Here is a 22,516-nt window from a genome sequence, read left to right on the forward strand (position 1 = left end):
TTTCTTTCTTTCTCCTTTCTTTCTTTTCTTTCTTTGTTTCTTTTCTTTCTTTCTTTCTTTCTTTCTTTCTTTCTTTCTTTCTTTCTTTCTTTCTTTCTTTCTTTCTTTCTTTTTTTCTTTCTTTCTTTTTTTTCTTTCTTTCTTGTCCCACTCTATTACCCAGGCTGGAGTGCAATGGCACGATCTTGGCTCACTGCAACCTCTGCCTCATGCCTCAGCCTCCCGAGTAGCTGGGATTACAGGCGCATGCCACTACGCCCAGCTAATTTTTTGTGTCTTTAGTAGAGATTGAGTTTCACCATGTTGGCCAGGCTGGTCTCGAACTCCTGACCTTGTGATCTGCCCACCTCAGCCTCCCAAAGTGCTAGGATTACAGGCATGAGCCACCGTGCCTGACCTGATCTCAGTTTCTAGTTGACTGTTTTCCCAGATCTTCAGTTACCCTCAGGGTAAGCTCTACATTTTCTGTAACTGTATAGGAGAACATTCTTTGTTTCCAACTGAATTTTTCCAATAGTCAACACCTGTCCTTCCTTTTTTAGGGTCCAGAGTTAGTTACTGCCACAGTGAATGCTTTTCTTTCATGCATTTTTGTTTTTCATAGGATGACTTTTCCCTAATACTTAATGGTGAAATGATCCTTCAAAGCAATTCACTGGTCATTTCCTCTTTGAAGCATTTCTGGACTTGTCAGTTGAGAGAGAAGGTCACGCCACTTATGAGATGGTGAATGTGAGAATGCGATGAATTCTTGATTTGACGATATACACACATTCGCACACATACACTTCAGCTATTTGAGAGTAACACAGAGAAGAGACTCAAGCTTTTTAACTATGCTTTTATGTTGGAAAGTTGATGGTCCTTATAATTAACATAATCATTATTATAAGACATTGTTTTCTATTTACTCATAGGATCTGGCATCTTGTAGATTTCTCTATTAACTTTATTAGAACTCCTGTATATGTTCTCACACACAGCACAAGTAAAAGCTGTTTAAAAATATAAATCTTGATAAAATTATCACATTGGATGAATCAGCCAATTTCTCAGGCATGATGAATTATTTTGGTAAATGACCAAGGGAAAATACTTGTAGTATATGTGACTAAAGCTATAAATTATTATATATAATGAGTACTTACACTCATTAACAAAGAGATAAACACATCTATTGAAACATAGGTAAATAAAAATGACCAAGGAGTTAAGAGCAGAGAAACATAAATGGCCAAAATTTAGCTGATTTTCAAGTTATGAATATTAAAGCAAGAGGCCATGGGATAGAGGGAAGCAAAGAAATAAATGTTACAAATATTCTAGAGCAAGTGTTTGCAAGGGAGCTAAATGTCACTCATATATTACTGATGGGAATATTTGGTTGTTTTAATAATTTACTGAAGGGAAATTTAGAAACGTGTAAAACTCTTAAAAATATAAATTTTTAAAAATAATTCTAACTGTAGAAACTAATCCAAAGAAAGGAAAATGTACAAAAATATTGGTTATGATAATAATCTTCAGAGTCTTGCTTTTAAATAAGGGAAAATTATGGGCTATGGACATTGATTAAGATATTATTTGAAAAGGATATATTTAATAACCTGAACATATCTATTATTTCATTCAATAAAGAAAAACTTAGTAGTACAATCTTGTATTTGTATAAAAATGCAGATACATAGTAACGATAGAATGATACATAGGCAGTAACTGAGTCATTTTTGTTTTCTCGATGATATATTTTTCTTTATTTTCTATGTCTTCTACTATGAATATCGTCAGAATACTTATCATCAGAGTACTTAAATTATGAATCCCCCAGGTGGTTAGCTATTTCTATGTTTCATAGAACAAAAATATACAGTTTTATTTTAAGAATTTATATTACCACACAACTCTATTAGAAGAGGTATTTGGTATTTTCTTAATTAAGTAGATAGGCTAAAATAGTGCATAACTAATTTGATTTCCAAAGCGTTAATTTCAAAAACATAGAAGAACTATATTTGAAATAATTTTCTTTATACCTAAAATATTGTCTAGGGTCAATTGTATGTTTTCCGCATTTCCGGTACTTACCAGTGTCTCAATAAGGAACCTGGTGGAGGGCATTTATTGGAAGATTATTGGACTTGAAGAGGAAGAATGTTAATTGGATAGGATGGAAGCAGTCTTTTTGAGCATTACAACATTTGAGACTTCTTTTGTATTTGTGATCCTGAGATCCTGGATCCTACACCTTGACAAATGTTTGATTCCTATGCAAAGAGGAACAAAGAGGCTTTATTGGCAGAAAGTCTTGCAATAGAATGTCTATGTCAATGTCTGTCTTGGTCAATGTCTGTATCTATATCTTTATGTGTATTTGTGTATCTGTAACTATGTATTTATACCTTTATCTCTATCTCTATCTAAACCAATTAATAATTTGTCCTAGGTAACCCCTAGATCCTAGTTTGCCTGTGGTTGCTCTATCAAGAGACAAGTCTGGAAAACCTATGTCCCATAGTTTCTTTTAAAGTATATAGGGAATCCCTTCTGTTTATGGCAGATAGGCCATATGTATTGCTATAGTCTGAAATTCCTGAATGGAGCTAAGGAGCAACTCCTATTTGGACCTAAATGTTTTGTGTAGCATTATTAAGGATTTCCCACTCCCTAACTCTTTTCACACGCAGACATACTAAACTCCAGCTTTTGCCACTTGGAGGTGTTAGTCTACTCACAGCGAACCTGCAGCCTATCTGTAAATTTAGAGTCATTGTGGCAAGTCTGAGGTTTTGCCTGGCAAATCAAATGACATGAAATAGTTTCTAATGTATAAGGTATTATTCATGACTTCATAGGTGAGTAAGAACTGAGCTGGCTGTGTAACTGTTATGATACTGTTTATGATTTTGACATATATAAATTCTGTTTATAAATGTTTTTGCAATAGTGGTCTTTCTCCTCCTTTGACTGGTAGGTAGCGTTTAATCATTGACAAGCTATATACTTCCTGAAAATGTCCTAAAAAAGAGAATATTCTTTGGGGCTTGCCCTCTCTCTCCCTTTCTTCTTCTCTCCTTCCTCCTTCCCTTCTCTCCCTCCCTGCCTCCCTTCTTTCCTTATTTTTAACATACATGATGTATGAGAAAAAAGATAAACTATTTTTGTTTTTATTTGGTGAACTTATTTTGTTTTAACTTCCTGAATTATTTTCATTTCAATTCTTCAAAGCATGGGCAAAACCAAACATTTTCCTTTTATTTACATATACAGTAACAAGATCATTTTCTTGATTCACTAAGATATATGTTAGCATGTTATTTTCTGTGAATGCTCATGATTTTAAACATGACAAGTGTGCAAAATAAATGCTTTCAGATTATTAACATTCCTTCTCTCAGAAAATAACCTTGTTTGCTAATTTACAAGACCAGTTGTTGTCAACAGTCTTAAATCTTTTTCACTTCAAAGTCCCTGTATCTTCTTTCCTATCCATTTTCTTTCTCATAGGTTTTAGGAAAAATGAAAAAAATTCTTTATTCTAAAGCTTGAATTTTTATCAGTGCTTTGTTTTCATATCTTCCACTTCATGTGTTTGCTCAACTAATCCTCCTGTTATTTGGATTGTGGTGCATGCTATTTCCCCTGCAACCCCCCATGTCCTGTGTGGTTCTTTTCCATCAAACAATCTACCCAAGTGTGTCTCTATTCTAATGAAATCAACCACACTCCACACTTTCCTCAATGATAACTTTTTTCCAAATATACCTTTTTTCTCTTCACGATTGTGAAGAGAAAAAAAGGTATATTTGGAAAAAAGTTATTTTTTATATCGAGACACACACACACACACACACACACACACACACACATATATATATATATATATATAGAGAGAGAGAGAGAGAGAGTCTTGCTCTGTTGCCCAGGCTGGAGTGCAGTGGTATGATCTCAGCTCACTGCAACCTCCACCATCTGGGTTCAAGCAATTCTCCTGCCTCAGCCTCCCAAGTAGCTGGGACTACAGGCTCGCATGACCACGCCTGGCTAACTGTTTTGTATTTTTGTAGAGACAGGGTTTCATCATGTTGGCCAGGCTGTTCTTGAACTCCTGACCTCAAGTGATCCTCCCGCCTCAGCCTCCCAAAGTGCTGGGATTATGGATGTGATCCACCACACCCAGCCTAATATTTTTTATATAATAAATTTTATTGTGCATATTTAAGGTATACAACATGATGTTATAGGAAACATATAGATAATAAGAAAGGTACTATAGTGAGCAAATTAACATGACTATAATCTCACATAGTTACTTTTTTTTGGCAAGAGCAGCTAAAATCTACTCATTTAACATGAATCCTCCATACAGCACAGTTTCGTTACTTATAATTCTCATGTTGTACATTAGATTTGTAGACTTGCTAATCCAACATACTTATCTCTTCTGGTCTCCACCCTTTCTGCCTCCTCCTGGTAACCACTGTTTTGTTCTCCATCTCTGCGTAGTTGACCTTTTTAAAAAAACATTCTACATATAAAGGAGATCATACAATAATTTTCTTTCTGTGTTTGGGTTATTTCACTCAGCATAATGTCCTTCAGGCTCATCCCTGTGGTGGCAAATAGCAAGATCGGGTTCTTTTTAGGACTGACTAGTATTATGTTGTGTATATATAGAGTACAGTTTCTTTTTTTGTTTTTAATTATTATTATACTTTAAGTTTTAGGGTACATGTGGAGTACAGTTTCTTTATCCATTCATCCCTTCATCAATGAGTAGGTCATTTTCACAGCTTTGCTATTGTAAATAATGCTGCAATGAACATAAGCAGGTAGGTATCTTTATGAGATAGTGATTTCATTTCCTCTGGGTTTACATCCAGAAGAGGAATTGCTCAGTTATATTGTAGTTCTATTTTTAATTTCTTTAGAAATCTCCGTATTGTTTTTTATACTGACTGTGTCAATCTACATTTCCAATAGTGCAAAAAAATTTCCTTTATTTCCCAGCTTTGCCAACATTTGTTCAATCTTTTGACTTTTTGATAATATCCATCTTAACAAATGTAAGGGTGTTATATCAAAGAAGGTTTTTGAAAAATATTTATTATTTATTGAAGTTTATTTTAATTGACAAATAATTGTATATATTTATAGTGTGCAGTGTGATGTTTTGATGTATTCAGTCCTAAAAAAGGGGGAAATTATGTCATATTTGACAGTATAGAGTGAACCTGGAGAACATTATGCTAAGTGAAATAAGCTAGGCAAGAAAGACAAATATTGCATGATCTCAGTTATATGTGAAATTATAGTGGTTTTAATTTGCATTTTCTTGATGATTAACGATGTTGATTGCCTTTTAATATACCTATTGGCCATTTTTATGTCTTCTTTGGAGAAATGTCTATTAAGAGTTTTGCCTATTTTAAAATCAGGGTTTTTTTTTTTCTGCTATTGAGTTGTGTGAGTTCATTATAAATTTTAAATATGAACTGTCCTCTTGAGTAAGACAGCAATGAACTCAATAACCTCAGTCATCGCCCTTGAAATAATTATAATTTGATTCTACCTAATGTTCCTTAAAAATGTTCCCTAGACATTTATAAATTTTTTTCACCTTTGTTTCTTTTGTTGTTCCTGTATTGTACCTTTCATTGGTTCTTCTCCCTCTCCTCCTTCTCTTCTTCCTTCCAACTGTGAGTTAAAATTTTTTTATATATTACACTCTGTAATCTCTCTCTCTTTTTTTTTTTTACCACTTTCTACTTCAGTTACTGAATTTATATTTATTCTTAATTTCCAGAACACTTTCTTCCTTATTTTGCTTCTTGTGGTCTGTTTAGTTTTCTCTTTGTCTTTCATTCCCTTCCTTAAGTTTGGACTGCAAATGCCTTAATAATCTTTATAATTTTATACCTGTAATAATTGGCTTTACAATAATTTTTTGAATTGAGTTTCCTATTCTTCCTTGTCCTGTGCCTTTAAGATTTTAGAAAACTATCTTTTTTGACTCCAAATTGCTTTTCTGGATGAACTGCTCTGGAATATTCTCTAAAAAGTGGTGACAACAGTGGGATACTGTGAGAGGAAAGAATAATTGCTAACAATTTACCCTGTTTCATACCATGTCAGGTTTCCACCCCTTGCTCCTAATCTCCAATCTTTCTCATATTTTGAACTCGGTTTAGATTTTTTTTTTTTTTACTTCCTCTGCATCCTATGCCCCTGTCATAAGGGAAGAGAGCAGGTATGAGGCTTTATCTGTGGAAGGTTCCTATTTTAAAGTTATTTCTGAGAAAATTTTCCTGAAATTAAAAGCGAAAAAATTATACAGAAGCATGAAAATCAATGGATTTTTACAAAGCATAATATTCTGTAGTTTTGTTAAACAAATCCAATATGTGGAACATATTCAAAGCGTGGCCAAGTTAGGCTGACTCAGCACTCCACATGCTAAGCCCACAGTTACTGAGCTTGTCAAGGTGAGGATAGAGAATATAGACATCTTTTGAATACAGCTGCAAGGTGATGCTGTTTGGCTTCTGGATGGATTCCTACAGAGCTCATGGATAGAGTTTCTTCAAGTTCACTACAGTAACATGTCTGTACATTTGGTCGACGACTCAATTACAGGTGAAAATGGCAGAATTTACTCAAATCCCTTATTTGGAATAGAGAATTGTAGAGCTCAGTTCTGGAAATAGTAGCCTAGGAATTATGTTTATTTTTGTTTTTGTCTGCATTAGAACATAGCCCTCTCAGGATTACTTTTTTTCAGGGAATAAAAAAGGCACATAGCTTACAAGATTGGTTAGCATTAAATTTGCTCACATTTCTATCTCTAACAGTCATTGAAATAGCCAGTGTTTTAGTTTTCATAAAACTTCTCTTGGTGAGAGGCTCTTTTATGTGTAGGAATACATATCAATTAGTTTGCATGTTTGTGCATGTATGACAGATAAAAGGTTTGGAGAAGGTAGTCTTAAAGTATAAATCTGAGAGATATTCTTGTGGGTTTATATTTGTATAAAAGTGAGAGCTGAATACCTGAGCTTGACGAGGCAGAAATTTCGGGTACTTATGTCAAGCACTCAAGTCAAGCTACAAGATAAGCCTCAGATCAGAGGTTTCTTCTGAAGCCTTCTGTATAACTGAACTGGAGAAACTTATGAAGTTGGTTCCCAAAAGAGAGTTATTCTCTTAGAATGATCAATCTCTGAACTTAGTGCACTAAGAATTAAATCTAAGAAAATCTCTAAATTGAAATCTCTTGAGTTATAAAAAATTAATATAGGCCTAATGGTATTTTAGATATTGAGAGTTTGGCAGGCAGGGGTTGATATGGTCACAGTTTAAAACAAACAATGCTAGGTTGCTCTGGACTGAAATAAAAAGAAACAATTTTATATTGCATATTCTGAGTATTAAGTTAAGTAGAAGCTGCTAGAAAATTAAATCTGTACATACAACAAGAATATTGAACATATATAAATACTAAATGCATCTTCACTGATATTTAAGACATCTATACATTATTTGTATTTTTATTGTATGGGTTCCCTGAAGGACTATATCTTAGATTTCTTTTGAACTTGGAAGGTCCACCTATTTTTGTTTTGATGGTTTATTGAGAAAACAAAGCATTTGCCTCATTGTACCCTGTACTGTTCAGAAAGTCTTACTTTGAAACATTAGCTGAGTTTGACTGGTGGGACTCTGTTTTATACCAGCTTTATGTCTATTGATTTGTAAGCATTTTGCTCCCAGACACTTGACTGCAGATGGGATTTCTGAAATTAGTGGCAGGTATACTCCCTTACATGGAACTACTACAATTGGTTGATTCATTTGTCTACTGATGGATAGTAGATTGATTACAGTTTTTGACTATTCAAAAAAGCTGCGATGAACATATTTTTTAAGTCTTTATATGAGCATATGCTTTCATTTGGGTAAATAAAAGGAGTGGAATGGCTAGATTATGTGGTACATGTATATTTAACTTTTAAAGAAAGGATAAAGTGTTTTCCAAACTTCTAGTACTATTTTATACTCCCACCAGCAGTGTATGAGAGTTTCAATTCCTCCACATCTTTGTAACACTTAGTTTGGTCAACCTTTTAAATTTTAGTTATTCAAGAAGTTATTTAGTGGTATCTCATGTGATTTTAATTTGGATTCCTCTAAAGAATAATGATATTGACATATTTTCATGTACTTACATCCCATTCCAAATCATCTTTGGAGAACTGTTCAAATATTTAGCTAATTTTTTATTTGATTGCTTGCTTTCCTATTGAATTTTGAGAGTTTTCTCTATATATGATTGATACAAGTCTTTATTAGATAATGCTTTGCAAATATTACTCTATTTTTATGTTTTTTTCATTTTCTTAACAGTGTCTTATGAAGAGAAGAAGTTTTAAATTTTGATAAAGTTCAATTTATTCGTTTGTTCTTTTACTGATTGAGCTTTTGGTTTCACATCTAAAAATCTATGCTCAACCCCAAATCACAAACTTTAAAAAAATTTTTGTTCCAGAACTTATATAGTTTTAGGTTTTACAGTAGATCCATGATCTTATTATGAATTGATTTTTGTATTTACTTTGAGGTATGAATCACATTTCTTTTTTATACATGTGTCTTTTTTCCAGTTTTATTGATGTATAATTGATAAAGTTATATGTATTTAGGGTTTACAATGTAATATTTTGATATATGTATACATTGTGAAGTAATTACAGTAACAAAGCTAATTAGCATATCTATCAACTCATAGTTACCATTATTTTGTGTGTGTGTGGTGAGAACACATCAGAAATACTTCCTTTCAAATTTCAACTATACGGTGCATTATTATTAACCTCTTATACCCTATGACCAATATCTCCCATTTTCCCTTATCCCTTAGTCCTTTGTATCTGTCATTCTACTCTGTTACTGTGTGTTTGACCTTTTATTAGGTTTCACATATAAGTGAGATCATGCATATTTGTCTTTCTGAGTCTGTCTTATTTCACTTAGTGTAATGTCTTCTGGCCTTATCCATGTTGTTGCAAATGGAAGGATTTCCTTCTTTTTTAGGGCTGAATAATATTCCATTGTTTGTACACACACACATCACATTTTCTCTATACATTCATCTACTGACTGACTCAGAATGGTTTTCATATCTTGGCTATTATACATAATGCTGCAATCTCTTGGAGATGCCAATTTAATTTATTTTGGTATATACCTAGAAGTGGAATTGCTTGATCATATGGTATTTCTGTTCTTAAATTTTTTAGGAATCTCCATACTATTTTTTACAATGGCTGTACCAATTTATATACATACCAGTAGGTTCTTTTTTCCCCACATCCTTGCCAACATTTATCTTTTGACTGTTTGATAAAAGCCATTCTAACAGGTGACAGGTGTTATCTCATTGTAGTTTTTGATTTTCATTTCCCTGATGATTAGTGATGTTGAACATCTTTTCATATACCTGCTGACTATATGTATATTTTCTTTTGAGAAACGTTTATTCAGGTCCTTTGCCTATTTTTCAATTGGCTATTTTTTTCTATTGAGTTGTGTAAGTTTCTTATGTATTTTGGATATTAACTATTTATCGGATATATGGTTTGCACATATTTTCTCTTATTCTGTGAGCTACCTTTTCATTTTATTGATTGTTTCCTTTGTTATGCAAGAATTTTTCAGTTTGCTGTAGTCCTACTTATTTAGTTTTGCTTTTGTCATCTGTGCCTTTGGCATCATATAAAAAAATCATTACTAAAACTAACATCATGGAGATTTTTTCTATGTATTTTTGTAGGAGTTTTATGGTTTCAGGTACATTTAAGTCTTTAATCCATTATGAATTAATTGATTTTTGTGTAAGGTCTAAGAGAAGGGTCCTATTTAATGATTTTTTTTTTGAGTGTGGATATCCAGTTTTCATAACATTATTTATTTAAGAGTCCATTATTTCCCCATATTCTTAGTACCTTTGTTGAAGATTGATTGACTGCATATGTATGGGTTTATTTCTGGGCTTTCCAATCTGTTCCATTAGCTTATGTGTCTAATTTTATGCTGCTACCATACTGTTCTGATTACTGTAGATTTGTAATATAGTATGAAATCAGGAAGTGTGCTTACTCCAATTACTTCTGTTCAAGATTGCTTTAGCTATCAGGATATTTTATGTTTCCATGAATTTTGCAATTGCTTTTTCTATTTCTGCAAGCAATGCTATTGGAATTTTGATATGGGTTCCAGTGGATTTGTAGATTTTTTGGGTAGTTTGAACATTTTAACAATATTCCTTCTTTCAATCCATGAACATGAGATATTTTTCCACTTATTTGAGTTTTCACCAATTCTTTTATCAGTTGTTTTATACTTTTCAGTGAGTAGAACTTTCATCTCCTTGGTTAATTTTTTTTGTAAGTATTTTATTCTGTTTCATGCTATTGTAAATGCTATTGTTTTTCTTTATTTCTTTTTTTGGACAGTTTGCTGTTAATGTATAAAAATGCAGCTGATTTTTGTATGTTTATTTTGTATCCTACAACTTTACTGAATTTGCTTGTTCTAATAGTTTTTGGGGTGGGCTTTAGGGTTTTCTATGTATGATTATGTTATCTGCAGAGACAATTTTACTTCTTCCTTTCCTTTTTTTTTTTTTTCAGATGTGCATCCAATTCTTACAGAACCATTTGAAAATACTGATTTTTTCTCCAATGAATTGCTTATACACTTTTGTCAAAAAATCTGCTGTTTTAATACATGTGTCTTTTTCCCAACTGTGTATTTTGTTCCATTTACTTGTTTGTCTACCTTTATGCTAATACTAGACTGTTTTGGCTATTGCTGTTTTTTAATAAGACTTGACGTCAGGTAATTGTTGGTCTTTCAGCTTTTTTCCTTTACAAAGAAAGTTTTCTTGAATAGATATTCAAACTTTTTTGCATTCCAACCCTTCACCCAGATTTTTCTTATATTAACATCTAAACATCTAACGTACCAGGGTATGTTTATAAAAAAAATAAATAACAGGGGTACAATATCCTTAACAGACTTTAATAGCATTTTACCATTCTTTTTCTATGAAGGGCTTTTTACTGAGCGAGGATTCAATATAGAATACCATTTTGCATTTAGTCATTAGGTTTAAATTTCTCCAATCTGTGAATATTCTGTTTCCTTAATTTTTACTGACTTTGACACTTTTAAAGAGTACTGTTAAAATATTTTGTCAAATTTGGTCTTGTCTGGTGTTTTCCTATGAAAAGACTGGGTTTATGAATTTGGGGGAAGTGTATTTTACCTTTTACATATTGTTGGATTTGACTGGCTAAAATTTGGCTTACCTTTTTTTTTATCTATATTTATAAGAAATATTGATGCATAGTTGCTTTTTAAAAAATCGACTGGGTATGGTGGCTCACCCCTGTAATCCCAGCACTTTGGGAGGCCGAGGTGGATGGATCACCTGAGGTCAGGCATTTGAGACAAGCCTGGCAAACATGGTGAAACCCAGTCTCTACTAAAAATATAAAAAATTAGCTGGGCATGGTGGCAGTCTCCTGTGATCCCAGCTACTCAGGAGGCTGAGGCAGGAGAATCGCTTGAACTGGGAGGCAGAGGTTGCAGTGAGCCGAGATCGTGCTATTGCACTCTAGCCTGGGTGAAAGAGTGAGACTCAGTCTCAAAATAAAATAAAATAAAATAAAATAAAATAAAATAAAATAAAATAAAATAAAATAAAATCTAGTAGTTTTTAACATAGCTTGAGTTGAAAATAAATCCTCCATTTTAATTTTATGAAATAGTTTGTGTAGAATTGGCATTATTTCTTTCTTAAAGACTTGATAGGGTCATCAACGAAGTCATCAGACTCTGAAATTTCTTCTATGGGAAGCCTTTAAACTCAAATTCAACTTATTTACTAGAGATAGGGGAATTTAGGTTTTCTATTTGTTCTTGAGTGAGCTTTGGAAATTTGTGTCTTTCAAGAAATATCTCTCTTTCATATGAGTTGTCTCATTTATTGGCATAATATTCTTCAGGTTTTTTTGGTTATCCTTTTTAATATCAGTAGTGTGTAGTGTCTGCAGTAACATCACCTCTCTTAATCCTGATATTTGTAATTGTGGTTTTTTTTTTTTTTTTTTTTTTTTTTTGAGACGGAGTCTTGCTCTGTCACCCAGGCTTGAGTGCAGTGGCTTGATCTTGGCTCACTGCCTCCTCTGCCTCTCGAGTTCAAGCAATTCTCCTGCCTCAGGCATCTGAGTAGCTGGGATTACAGGCATGCGCCACCACGCCTGGCTAATTTTTGTGTTTTTAGTAGAGATGGGGTTTTGCCATGTTGGCCAGGCTGGTCTCGAACTCCTTATCTCAAGTGATCCTCTTGCCTTGGCCTTCCAAAATGTTGAGACTACAGGCGTAAGACACCATGCCCAGCCCTCTTTGTTTTTAATTCTTTATCTGTATGGCCAAATGTTTTCAATTTTATTTATTTTCTGAAAGAACCACCTATCAATATACTTGATTATCTAGTTTCCATCTCATTGGCTTCTCCTTTAATCTCTACTGTTTTCTTTCTTCTACTTAATTTTAGTTTAATGTGCTCTTCTTTTTTTTTATTTCTTAAGGAGGAAGCTAATGTCATTAATTTGAGAACTTCCTGCCTTTTTGATACTGTCATTTATTGTTACAGATAGCTCCCCTTCCTATGTTCAGCTTCAGGAACATCCCACACATTCTTGATACACCGTATAAAATGTATATGTAGTATAAATATGAAAAGTATTCACAGATATTTCTGGTATTAATTTATTATTTAATGTCATTGCTAAATCTGAGACCATACTGCGCATTATTTGAACTCACTTAAATTTATTGACACTTGTTGTATGGTTTACAATATTGCTGTGAATATTCCATGTCCACTTAAAAGAACAATTTGGAGTTGAATATTCTATGAATATCAGTTAGCTCAAGTTAGTTGATGGCATTTTTGAAATTTTGTATACCCTTACTGATTTCCTGCTTATTCCTATTTATTAATGAAAAAGAGTTATTGCAATTTCCAATGATAAGTTTTCTATTTATTAGGAATATGTCTTGAAAAAGGAAGTAGGATGAAGTAGCAAGGAGCATCTGTGCATTAACAGGGAAGTAAAAAATACAAAAGAACTAGACATAGAAAACTGTGACCTTTCCTGGATTGCTAGGCATTTATCTCTTCTCCTCAAAACTTTCAAGCACCCTCTCATATTTGCAATAGGATACCTGTGTTTTTATTGAATTTTTAGAGATAATTATATATGAAGTATCCATGATTATCATAAATCCTGTTAAATATCGGTATTGAAGAAAATTTGTGACCCATACGTATTTACTCAGTAAGCAATGACTTCATTTCCTGAATTTTAATATATTATTGATTCTATTAAGTTTTCTATATTCTAAATTAGGGTTTTAATAATATAATATGCATGTAGAGGGAATTTAATTTCTGCCTTTTCAAAGGTTATGTCTCATTTTTTATTCTTGTTTTGTTTTGTTTTCTTCTTTAATACATTGGCCAGATTTTCCTAAACAATGTTAAATGCAGTAGTGATAGTAAATATGCTAATCTTTTATCAACTTGTAGTGGGACTAGCTCACATTTAACTACCATGTGAATAGTTTGTTTTTGCTTTCATATGTTTGTTATCATTAAGTAACTAGTTTTTCTTAGTAGTTTACAGAGTTTTATGAGAAATGGAAGTTGGATGTTATCAAATGAGTGTTTAAAACATCTATTAAGATTTATTTGTGAATTATGAAAATGACAAAGTATAGTGCTTCCTAATAATATAACATCATTGTTTTTTTTAAGATCAACTTGGGTCACAATAGACTATTTTATTATACTGTTAAATTTAGTGTTTTATTTTATTTGGGAATTTCTGCGAATGAACTAAGTGAATTGCTCTATTCCTTTTAAACTTTGAACTATTTTTATCATGTTTTAATGTCTGAATGACATACAGCAGTTTCATAGAACAAACGGATAATTTTTCTATATTTATGGTACTCTGAAAATGTTCATATAACATTATAAATATCTGTTTATTCAAAGTTTGAAGGAACTCAATTATAAAAATAATTTGGACTATTTCAGTTAATTCTTTCATGGTGGTATTTTTTTTCTCCCATATTTATAGCCTCATTGAATTTTCTCCCATTTTTTAGTTATCTGTATGTAATATTTACATGCTTCTAGCAAAATACTTTCTTTGAAATGGAAGTGTCATTTTGCCAAGTCTGAAACTGGGACACATTCAGAAATGCTATTTTTCTCTGGTTTCTATCTCAAATAGGCTCTTGTTAGTTCTATTTGTTTTGAATTTGATTATTCCTCTTTATATGATAGCAGGATTTAAACATTACGTTCTTCACTACCTGCCCCCACCTCACTCTCCAACTCTCTCTCGTTAAGTTTTCATCACATCTGAATACCAGATCTTGGTTTACTCTTTAATGTTTCACCTTTCAGTGCAATTTTGTTTCGGATGTGTCTTTTTAAATTAGCATCATCATCATTTTTTATACTTTTTATTGAAGTAAAGGAACAAACAAAAATACACATACTGTAAGTGTTAAAGCTCCATTATCACTAAGTGAATTCATCCATGCAATCTTCATCCAGATCAGGAAACAGAATATTACCAGTAGCTCCAACTCTCTACCTCCTCAAGTGTATTATTATCCTGACTATAAAATTAGGAAGTATTTTTTGTGTGTATGATTCTTTTTATTAAACATTTTGAGGATGGACGCCATGGCTCACACCTGTAGTCCCAGCAGTTTGGGAGGCCAAGGCGGGTAGATCACCCGAAGTCAGGAGTTCAAGACCAACCTGACCAACAGGGCGAAATCCCATCTCTACTAAATACAAAAAATTAGCTGGGCGTGGTGGTGCATGCCTGTAATCCCAGCTGCTTGGGAGGCTGAGGCAGGAGAATTGCTGGAACCCAGGTGGCAGAGGTTGCAGTGAGCCAAGATTGCACCATTGCACTCCGACATGGGCAACAAGAGTGAAACTCCGTCTCAAAAAAAAAACAAAGAAACATTATTTTGTAGTTGTATCGTGCTATATATTCTGTTAATTTTCATTGTTGTTTCGTAATTACTGAAGAACTATATTACGATTTATTTACATATTCTGCTATTGATTGACAGTTGATTACAGTTTGGAATATAAACTTTTAAAAATGTATAAAAAATACTAATTTAGGTCAGGTACAGTGGCTCACGCCTGTAATCCCAGCAGTTTGGGAGGCCGAGGTGGGTGGATCATGAGGTCAGGAGATCGAGACCATTCTGGCTAACACGGTGAAACCCCGTCTCTACTAAAAATACAAAAAATTAGCCGGGCGTGGTGGTGGGCGCCTGTAGTCCCAGCTACTCGTGAGGCTGAAGCAGGAGAATGGCGTGAACCTGGGAGGCGGAGCTTGCAGTGAGCCGAGATCAAGCCACTGCACTCCAGCCTGGGCGACAGAGCGAGACTCTGTTTCAAAAATAAAATAAAATAAAAATACTAATTTAATGGTAAAGCTAAGAAATTTTCCAAAGGAGTTGTATCAACTTAACATTTTCACCAGCAGTTTCTTGGTATTTTATTTAATCTGTATACTCACCAATTATTGCTTTTTTTAGTTTTAATTTTATGTTAGTCACATTCTGATAATGTGTAGCAATATCTCTCTGTTGTTTAAATATGCACTTTATTGATTTTTTATTTTTATGAGACAGTGTCTAATTCTGTCACCCAAGCTGGGGTGCAGTGGCATTGTCATGGCTCACTGCAGCCTCCATTCCCTGGGCTCTGAGTAGCTGAGACTACAGGTGCGAATCAATACGCCCAGCTAATTTGTTTTTTTTGTAGAGACAGGATTTTGCCACATTGCCCAGGCTGGACTCCATTGATTTTAATGAAGCCGAGGTTTTTTTTCATATATGTGTTAGCCATTTGGATATCCTTGTTTGTGAAGTGGTTGTTCATGTTTTGCCCATCCTAATTCCATTGCCTTTTTTTACCTAGTAATATCCAGATTATCATGGAGATGAGTTTTTTTCATATATATATATATATATATATGTATTGTAAATTTTTTTACATTCTGTGATTTGCCTTTATTCTTTCTAATATGATGTCTTTTGGTTATTGGGAGGTCTTAAGTTTATCAACTCTTAATGGCTACTACTTTGTATGCTCTGTTTAAGAAATCTTTGCATGCTCCAAATCCATTAAGTTATTTCATTTTGCCATCTAGAAGCTTGGTAGAATAGTCTGTAGTATATTGTAGCATGTGCATTTTCTTCCCTCACCCCAGGTCCAACAAGCATGAGAAACCTCAGTGTTTATTACTCACACAGGCATATGCAAAGCAAGGAAAATATGTGAGTGAGCAGCTGTGGTGTCTCACCAGTAAGAGTTTGCTTTTATATGTCTCACAGGAAAGAAGGCAAAGAGAGAGAGTGAGGTCATGTTGGAAAAATATACAGAAATTACTATAATTATACAGTCTAGATAAGATGTGCCTGTAATGGTGGCATTCTACAGAAAACAGTGAATTAAGATATGGAAGTGATCAAATCAACAGGTCTTGGTGTCTAAATGGCTTGGGAGGGTGAAGCTGCCAGGGATGATTTCAAAGAATCTAAATTAAATGAAGAAGTGCTTGGAACTGAGACAGAAGATATAGAAAAAGACTTCTCTGGAAAGAGAAATAACTTTATTAAATTTTTATTGTTTTGTGTTTGAATTGTCTTTGGAACTTTTGGATAACGAAGCTTGATTATTTGGAAATACTATTTGGAACCTCAAGAGATAAGCCAGGACTAGAAGCAAAAAAATTAAGAAGTTAATGATATGTAACTAATATTGTTGGTACTTGGAAAATTCCAAAAAGAATGATGTAAGGCTTGAAAAACAAGTGAATTATGGTACTAATAAGATATACTTTAAAAATAAATGCAAAGAAAAAGTTACTATGGGAAAAGTCACCTTGACATAAAGAGAAATTTCTAGCAATGATAGAGTTGATAGTAAATTAATTGGGTAAGTTGGCATGTATAAGAAATAAATTTGTCCATCAGAATTTGGGTTGGTAAGTCATGGAAACACAGAAAGAGTCATGGAACTTCTCATTCTTCCAGGGCCTCAGGCCAACGACTTAATTGACTGATTTCAGAATCTGTTGTGATCACTTTAGTTTTTTTTTTTTTTGTATCATGTATCTTTATTTAAAATCTGAAGAGCCAACCTTGGACCCTGAAAAATAAAATTGTGTGGTATGACACCCTATGAATTGCCTTTAAGAAGTAGCATAGGTCGCTTTGTTGAGTGATAGATGCTTGTATCACTTTAGGCCAGCTACAAGGTTCTGTCTTTTTAGGAAGCTTCTATAGTTCATTTAAAAATCGTAAACATCGCCCACTTTTTGATGGGGTTGTAATAACAGACACTTCTCAAAAGAAGACATTTATGCAGCCAAAAAACACATGAAAAAATGCTCATCATCACTGGCCATCAGAGAAATGCAAATCAAAACCACAATGAGATACCATCTCACACCAGTTAGAATGGCAATCATTAAAAAGTCAGGAAACAACAAGTGCTGGAGAGGATGTGGAGAAATAGAAACACTTTTACACTGTTGGTGGGACTGTGAACTAGTTCAACCATTGTGGAAGTTGGCGTGGTGATTCCTCAGGGATCTAGAACTGGAAATACCATTTGACCCAGCCATCCCATTACTGGGTATATACCCAAAGGATTATAAATCATGCTGCTATAAAGACACATGCACACGTATGTTTATTGCAGCACTATTCACAATAGCAAAGACTTGGAAACAACCCAAATGTCCAACAATGATAGACTGGATTAAGAAAATGTGGCACATATACACCATGGAATATTATGCATGATAATAATAATAATAATATATGATGAGTTCATGTCCTTTGTAGGGACATGGATGAAGCTGGAAAACATCATTCTCAGCAAACTATTGCAAGGACAAAAAACCAAACACCACATGTTCTCACTCATAGGTGGGAATTGAACAATGAGAACACATGGACACAGGAAGGGGAACATCACACACCGGGGACTGTTGTGGTGTGGGGGGAGGGGGGAGGGATAGCATTAGGAGATATACCTAATGCTAAATGACGAGTTAATGGGTGCAGCACACCAGCATGGCACATGTATACATATGTAACAAACCTGCATGTTGTGCACATGTACCTTAAAACTTAAGGTATAATAATAATAAATAAATAAATATATCTATATATATAAAGAAAGAAAATCCTGAACATCACCGATGTGATTACTTAGGAATAAACTGAAAAGAGAAGAGACCTGGTAATATAACTCTTAGAACTATATTAGGGTGAGAGCAAAAGAAAAAAATTCAGTGAAGACTTGGAAAAAAAATAAGAGGATAAGGGTAGAGAATCAGTGTGTGGAGAAATAATGGATAATAATGAAATAGGAGCTTTAAAAGGGTATAGTCAAAAGTTTCAATGCTGCAGTGGTGACAAATAAGAACTAAAAATATGCGATAGACTTTTGGAAGTAAACTAAAAGATGATAGTCATGGGTAACTGAATCTGAACTGAAAAGAAACATTTGAAGTTTTCTTTTTATTTTTCTCTGAGTTTTTTTTTACACAAAAACTTATCACAGATTTTTGTTTGTTTGTTTTACAAATGCAATAATTAAAAGAGCACCAGTGATAACTACTGCATTTTATTGAGCATCTATAATATCTTGGCACTGTTAGAATATATATACGTTTGTTTATTCTTTAGCCCAATAAGTTAAATATCATATTTGTCTATTTTACAGATGATGAATGGGGGTTTTGAAAGTATAATTCAAAAGATATGCATAGTGATGCACTGAGTGGCTGCAGCACATGTAGTGGCTGGAATTTGACATAACACCTGTGCTGTAGTCACTACAAGAAAGTACTTAAGAAAATTAATATTTCTATCAGGACCTCTTCTGACCTCTCCTTACTATTTTGTTAACAGGCATTATTTACTCAGGAGAAAAAAGTATAGGAAACTAAAGAAAATACTGAAGATAATCTCAAATGGTGACAATCTTTTTCAATCTCATCTACACTTCAATTTTGGAATAGTCTATAATATTTGAGAATTAACAGAAATATTGCAAGATAAAAGCTAGCAACTGTTATGTAAAAGTATCCATTTTCCATGGATTCCCGCTAAAAGACTAACAGTTACTAAATCATCCCCACAAGCCAACTGCTTTTAAAAAGACCTCTACTACAACACAAGATGGTGCCACTAGCATATTATGGTCAACACTTTGTGCCATTAGACTACTTCTACCAACTGTCCTCAGCCAATACATTAACACATCAACATACAGGTGAAAAACTAAATCAATTCAATAACCAACCTATGGCCAAAGTGCAATCCCATAGCAATCACTTTGCAGTACCTCCACTGGGCTCCAATAAGAAGGTCCAGAGATGCTCAGTATTGCCTTCTCCCAAATCTCAGGACAAAATTTCACAGAGCTTCTGTGATAGGTTTCTGAATTCACCATTGTTCCATGCCAAGCATCAGAACACACCTTCAATAGGCCTCCACTGGAGAAGTTCATTGTGGCCTGCTCAAAGAGCCCTGAACTCTCATTTGTTGCACTCCAAAGCTCAAACAACGTCTTCATCTGACCTCAACATGACATCATCACTGGAGCTCAATCAAGCAGCCCTGAGTTTACAATTACCCTTCTGTAAACCTCAAACAACATCTTCAAGCCTAGATGTTTGCTGGAGATCACTTTCATTGAAGTCTCATCAAAGAGTCTCAAGTTCATCATTATTTCGCCTCCAAAATCAAGAAATACCTTCCATAAACATCATTTGGACATCATCTTCCTTGGGACCCAAACGAAAAGCCCTTAGCTCGACATTGCTTCAATCCAAACCTCAGAAAACATCCTCATTGGACTACCTTTGGACATCTTCATTGCAGCGCAATCAAAGATCTTTGAGTTCACCATCACTCAACACAAAACTTCAAACAAGTGACTTATTTTGGACATCACCTTCTTTCAAACCCAATCAAATTGCTCTTACCTCTCCATTACTTGACTCTAGGCTTCAGAAAACACCTATATTGAACTCTAACCCCACTATTGGAGGCTTACCAGTGTCCCATTCAAAAGCAAGGCAATCAGCATCATCATATTTTGTCCACCCATCTGAGAATTTACCATTGTTTCAGCTCAATTCTCAGTCAATGTTTATGCTTGATTGTAACTTCCAGACCACGAATTCACCTGTCTGTCACTCCAAGTTTCAGAATACCACTTCACCAAATGGCAAACACAGAGTCACACATCTACCATCACCCCATCCAAAAACAAACATCTCAGGTCAATTATTATCAAGCTCCAAACACTGCACCAGGAACACAGCTGCTTCAACATTAGGTTTCAGACTCCAGAGTAAAAGCAGCTTTCAGTTTTCTCCAAAGACAGAATCAAATAAAGAAATTCCTTGGACTTTAAAGTATAGTCAGCCCTGCATTGTTAAAGGTGGAACTGTCCCTGATGATGTGGTAAATAAAATTGTCAATTCTATCTCAAATACCAGAATACAGAGGGATCTCTGTAGGCAGATTTTGTTTAGAAGGATGAGGGGAAGGCCAAATCCTCATCCTGGTCCTCGCTTGTCATCAAATTATGTGGTTTGCTTAGCTTGTGCTTCCTGCCTAAAATCTCCATGTAACCATCTTAGAGGAAAGAAAAATCCTCATTGTGCAACACTTTCTGTCATACCAACACCTGAGGCCAATTCTGAGGGCAAAATAGAAGTGAAATTAGTTCTTATCCTTTCTCTACCAGAGACTTTCTCATCTTGTCTCCCATTCCCTATGAAAGAAAACCAGCCTAATGAAGTCCCTGAAGACAACCTTGAAGGAGTAGAGAAGATACAGCAGTTTTTCCCCACATCTGAACGGGATATCCAGGGACTTAATATGAAGCAAATATGGTGGGCGGTAGCCCCCGAAAACAAAGTTATAGGCCAACAGCCCCAGGCTATTGACTGGCTGTTTTATGTTAAAAAAAATAATTCTCAGCCACAATCCCTGCTCCCATCCACCTCCTCCTCCACTTCCTCCTCCTCCACCACCTCCTCCTCCTCCTCTGTTGCCTCTGCCTCTTCTGACTCCTCTTCTTCATCTTCTTCCTCCTCTTCCTTTTCCATCTCATCCTCTTCCTCTCCTTCCAAAGAGTTTATGACCCTCACTCTCTCACGTCCTGTATTCCGTAAGGTACTTAGCTACCATCGGTTGCCTGCAGGGGTCTCCTGGCTTGAGTTTATATATAGCAAAGATTACCAGCTGCATCCCAGAAAACCAAATCGAAGCCAATCATCATCTCTTAAAACAAAGCCTGTGAGGAACAACAATACAGTAAAATGGAGAAAGGGAGCAAACACACTGTTCAAATTTTTCCGGACAAAATGAGAAATTGTGATTAAATTAATCTTTAGTCTGTTTGAAGGCATTGATCTCTTAGTTCTTTGAGACTAGTGTTTGATTTCCAGGGAACTATTATCCTAAGGTCTATTTTCTAGTTAAATAATGGACTGTGATCTTCTAGAAGCCCAAAACTGAATCCTATGTTTTTGACTGAATGTCTGGCTTATAGTAGCCACTTTGTAATTATTGTTGAATGAATTTAACATAGTTGGCCATAGACCAGAAATACTTCATCTGTCTTACCCTAAATGTATCTAGCTCATTAATATTCCCTTTCCTCAGAAGCCAATCTATGCTAATCTGTTTCCCTATGTTTAAAGAAAAGTCAGATGATGTTCAATGGGTAAGAAAATCTATAAAGAGAAATCCTTTCAATTATTTGTTTGTAGAGAAAATTCTTCTATGTCAATATCCTACACTCTGAAGTCCAATGATTTATTCAACTTTAGTTAATAAATATGAAGAAAGAATAACTACTGTTACAAATAATCCTACTTAATGCTGACTGTGTTGATATTTTAATTATGGGCTCTTAAGTCACCTGTTCATCATGGCTATCTACACAAATGAAATGAGTTAATAAAAAATGTTTTAAAAATGTTTTTGTTCCACTGGGTCTACTGGTAGTGGGAAGAGAGGGAGTTGCCTTACTTACTCACCTTAAGTGTTAATTTCTATCTCCAATGGCTAGAATTTGCATCAGTTACATACACTAATGACTCACAATCCCACTTGTCCACTCCACATCTTTTCTGGTCACTGGACTGCATATTGGACATTTCCAGCTGGAGCATGATACAGGCATCTCAAGCTCCACATGGCCAAGCCAGAATTCATCATCTTTACACTTAGAGTTTACATCTTTGAATCTATAATTATCGGCTCCTGTATTCCCTGTGATTTGTCATCATAATGTTATGGTGTTTTT

At 34.4% G+C, this 22,516-nt stretch overlaps 1 protein-coding gene across 4 annotated transcripts in view; it reads left to right on the forward strand.

The window, feature by feature from the left end:
• The window catches only part of CSNK2A2IP (casein kinase 2 subunit alpha' interacting protein), a 129,139-nt gene extending 107,534 nt beyond the window's left edge, over positions 1 to 21,605 (forward strand). For all 4 annotated transcript variants that reach the window (NM_001368167.1, NM_001368168.1, NM_001368166.1 and 1 more), the window contains one exon: positions 19,099 to 21,605. In NM_001368167.1, coding sequence (NP_001355096.1) covers positions 19,369 to 21,573 — 2,205 coding nt within the window. In that variant the 5' untranslated portion in view covers positions 19,099 to 19,368 and the 3' untranslated portion in view covers positions 21,574 to 21,605. The remainder of the gene's footprint in view (positions 1 to 19,098) is intronic.
• Positions 21,606 to 22,516: the final 911 nt, after the last annotated feature.

The sequence above is a fragment of the Homo sapiens genome, chromosome 3 (assembly GCF_000001405.40).
Source record: "Homo sapiens chromosome 3, GRCh38.p14 Primary Assembly".
Taxonomy (NCBI): Eukaryota; Metazoa; Chordata; class Mammalia; order Primates; family Hominidae; genus Homo; species Homo sapiens.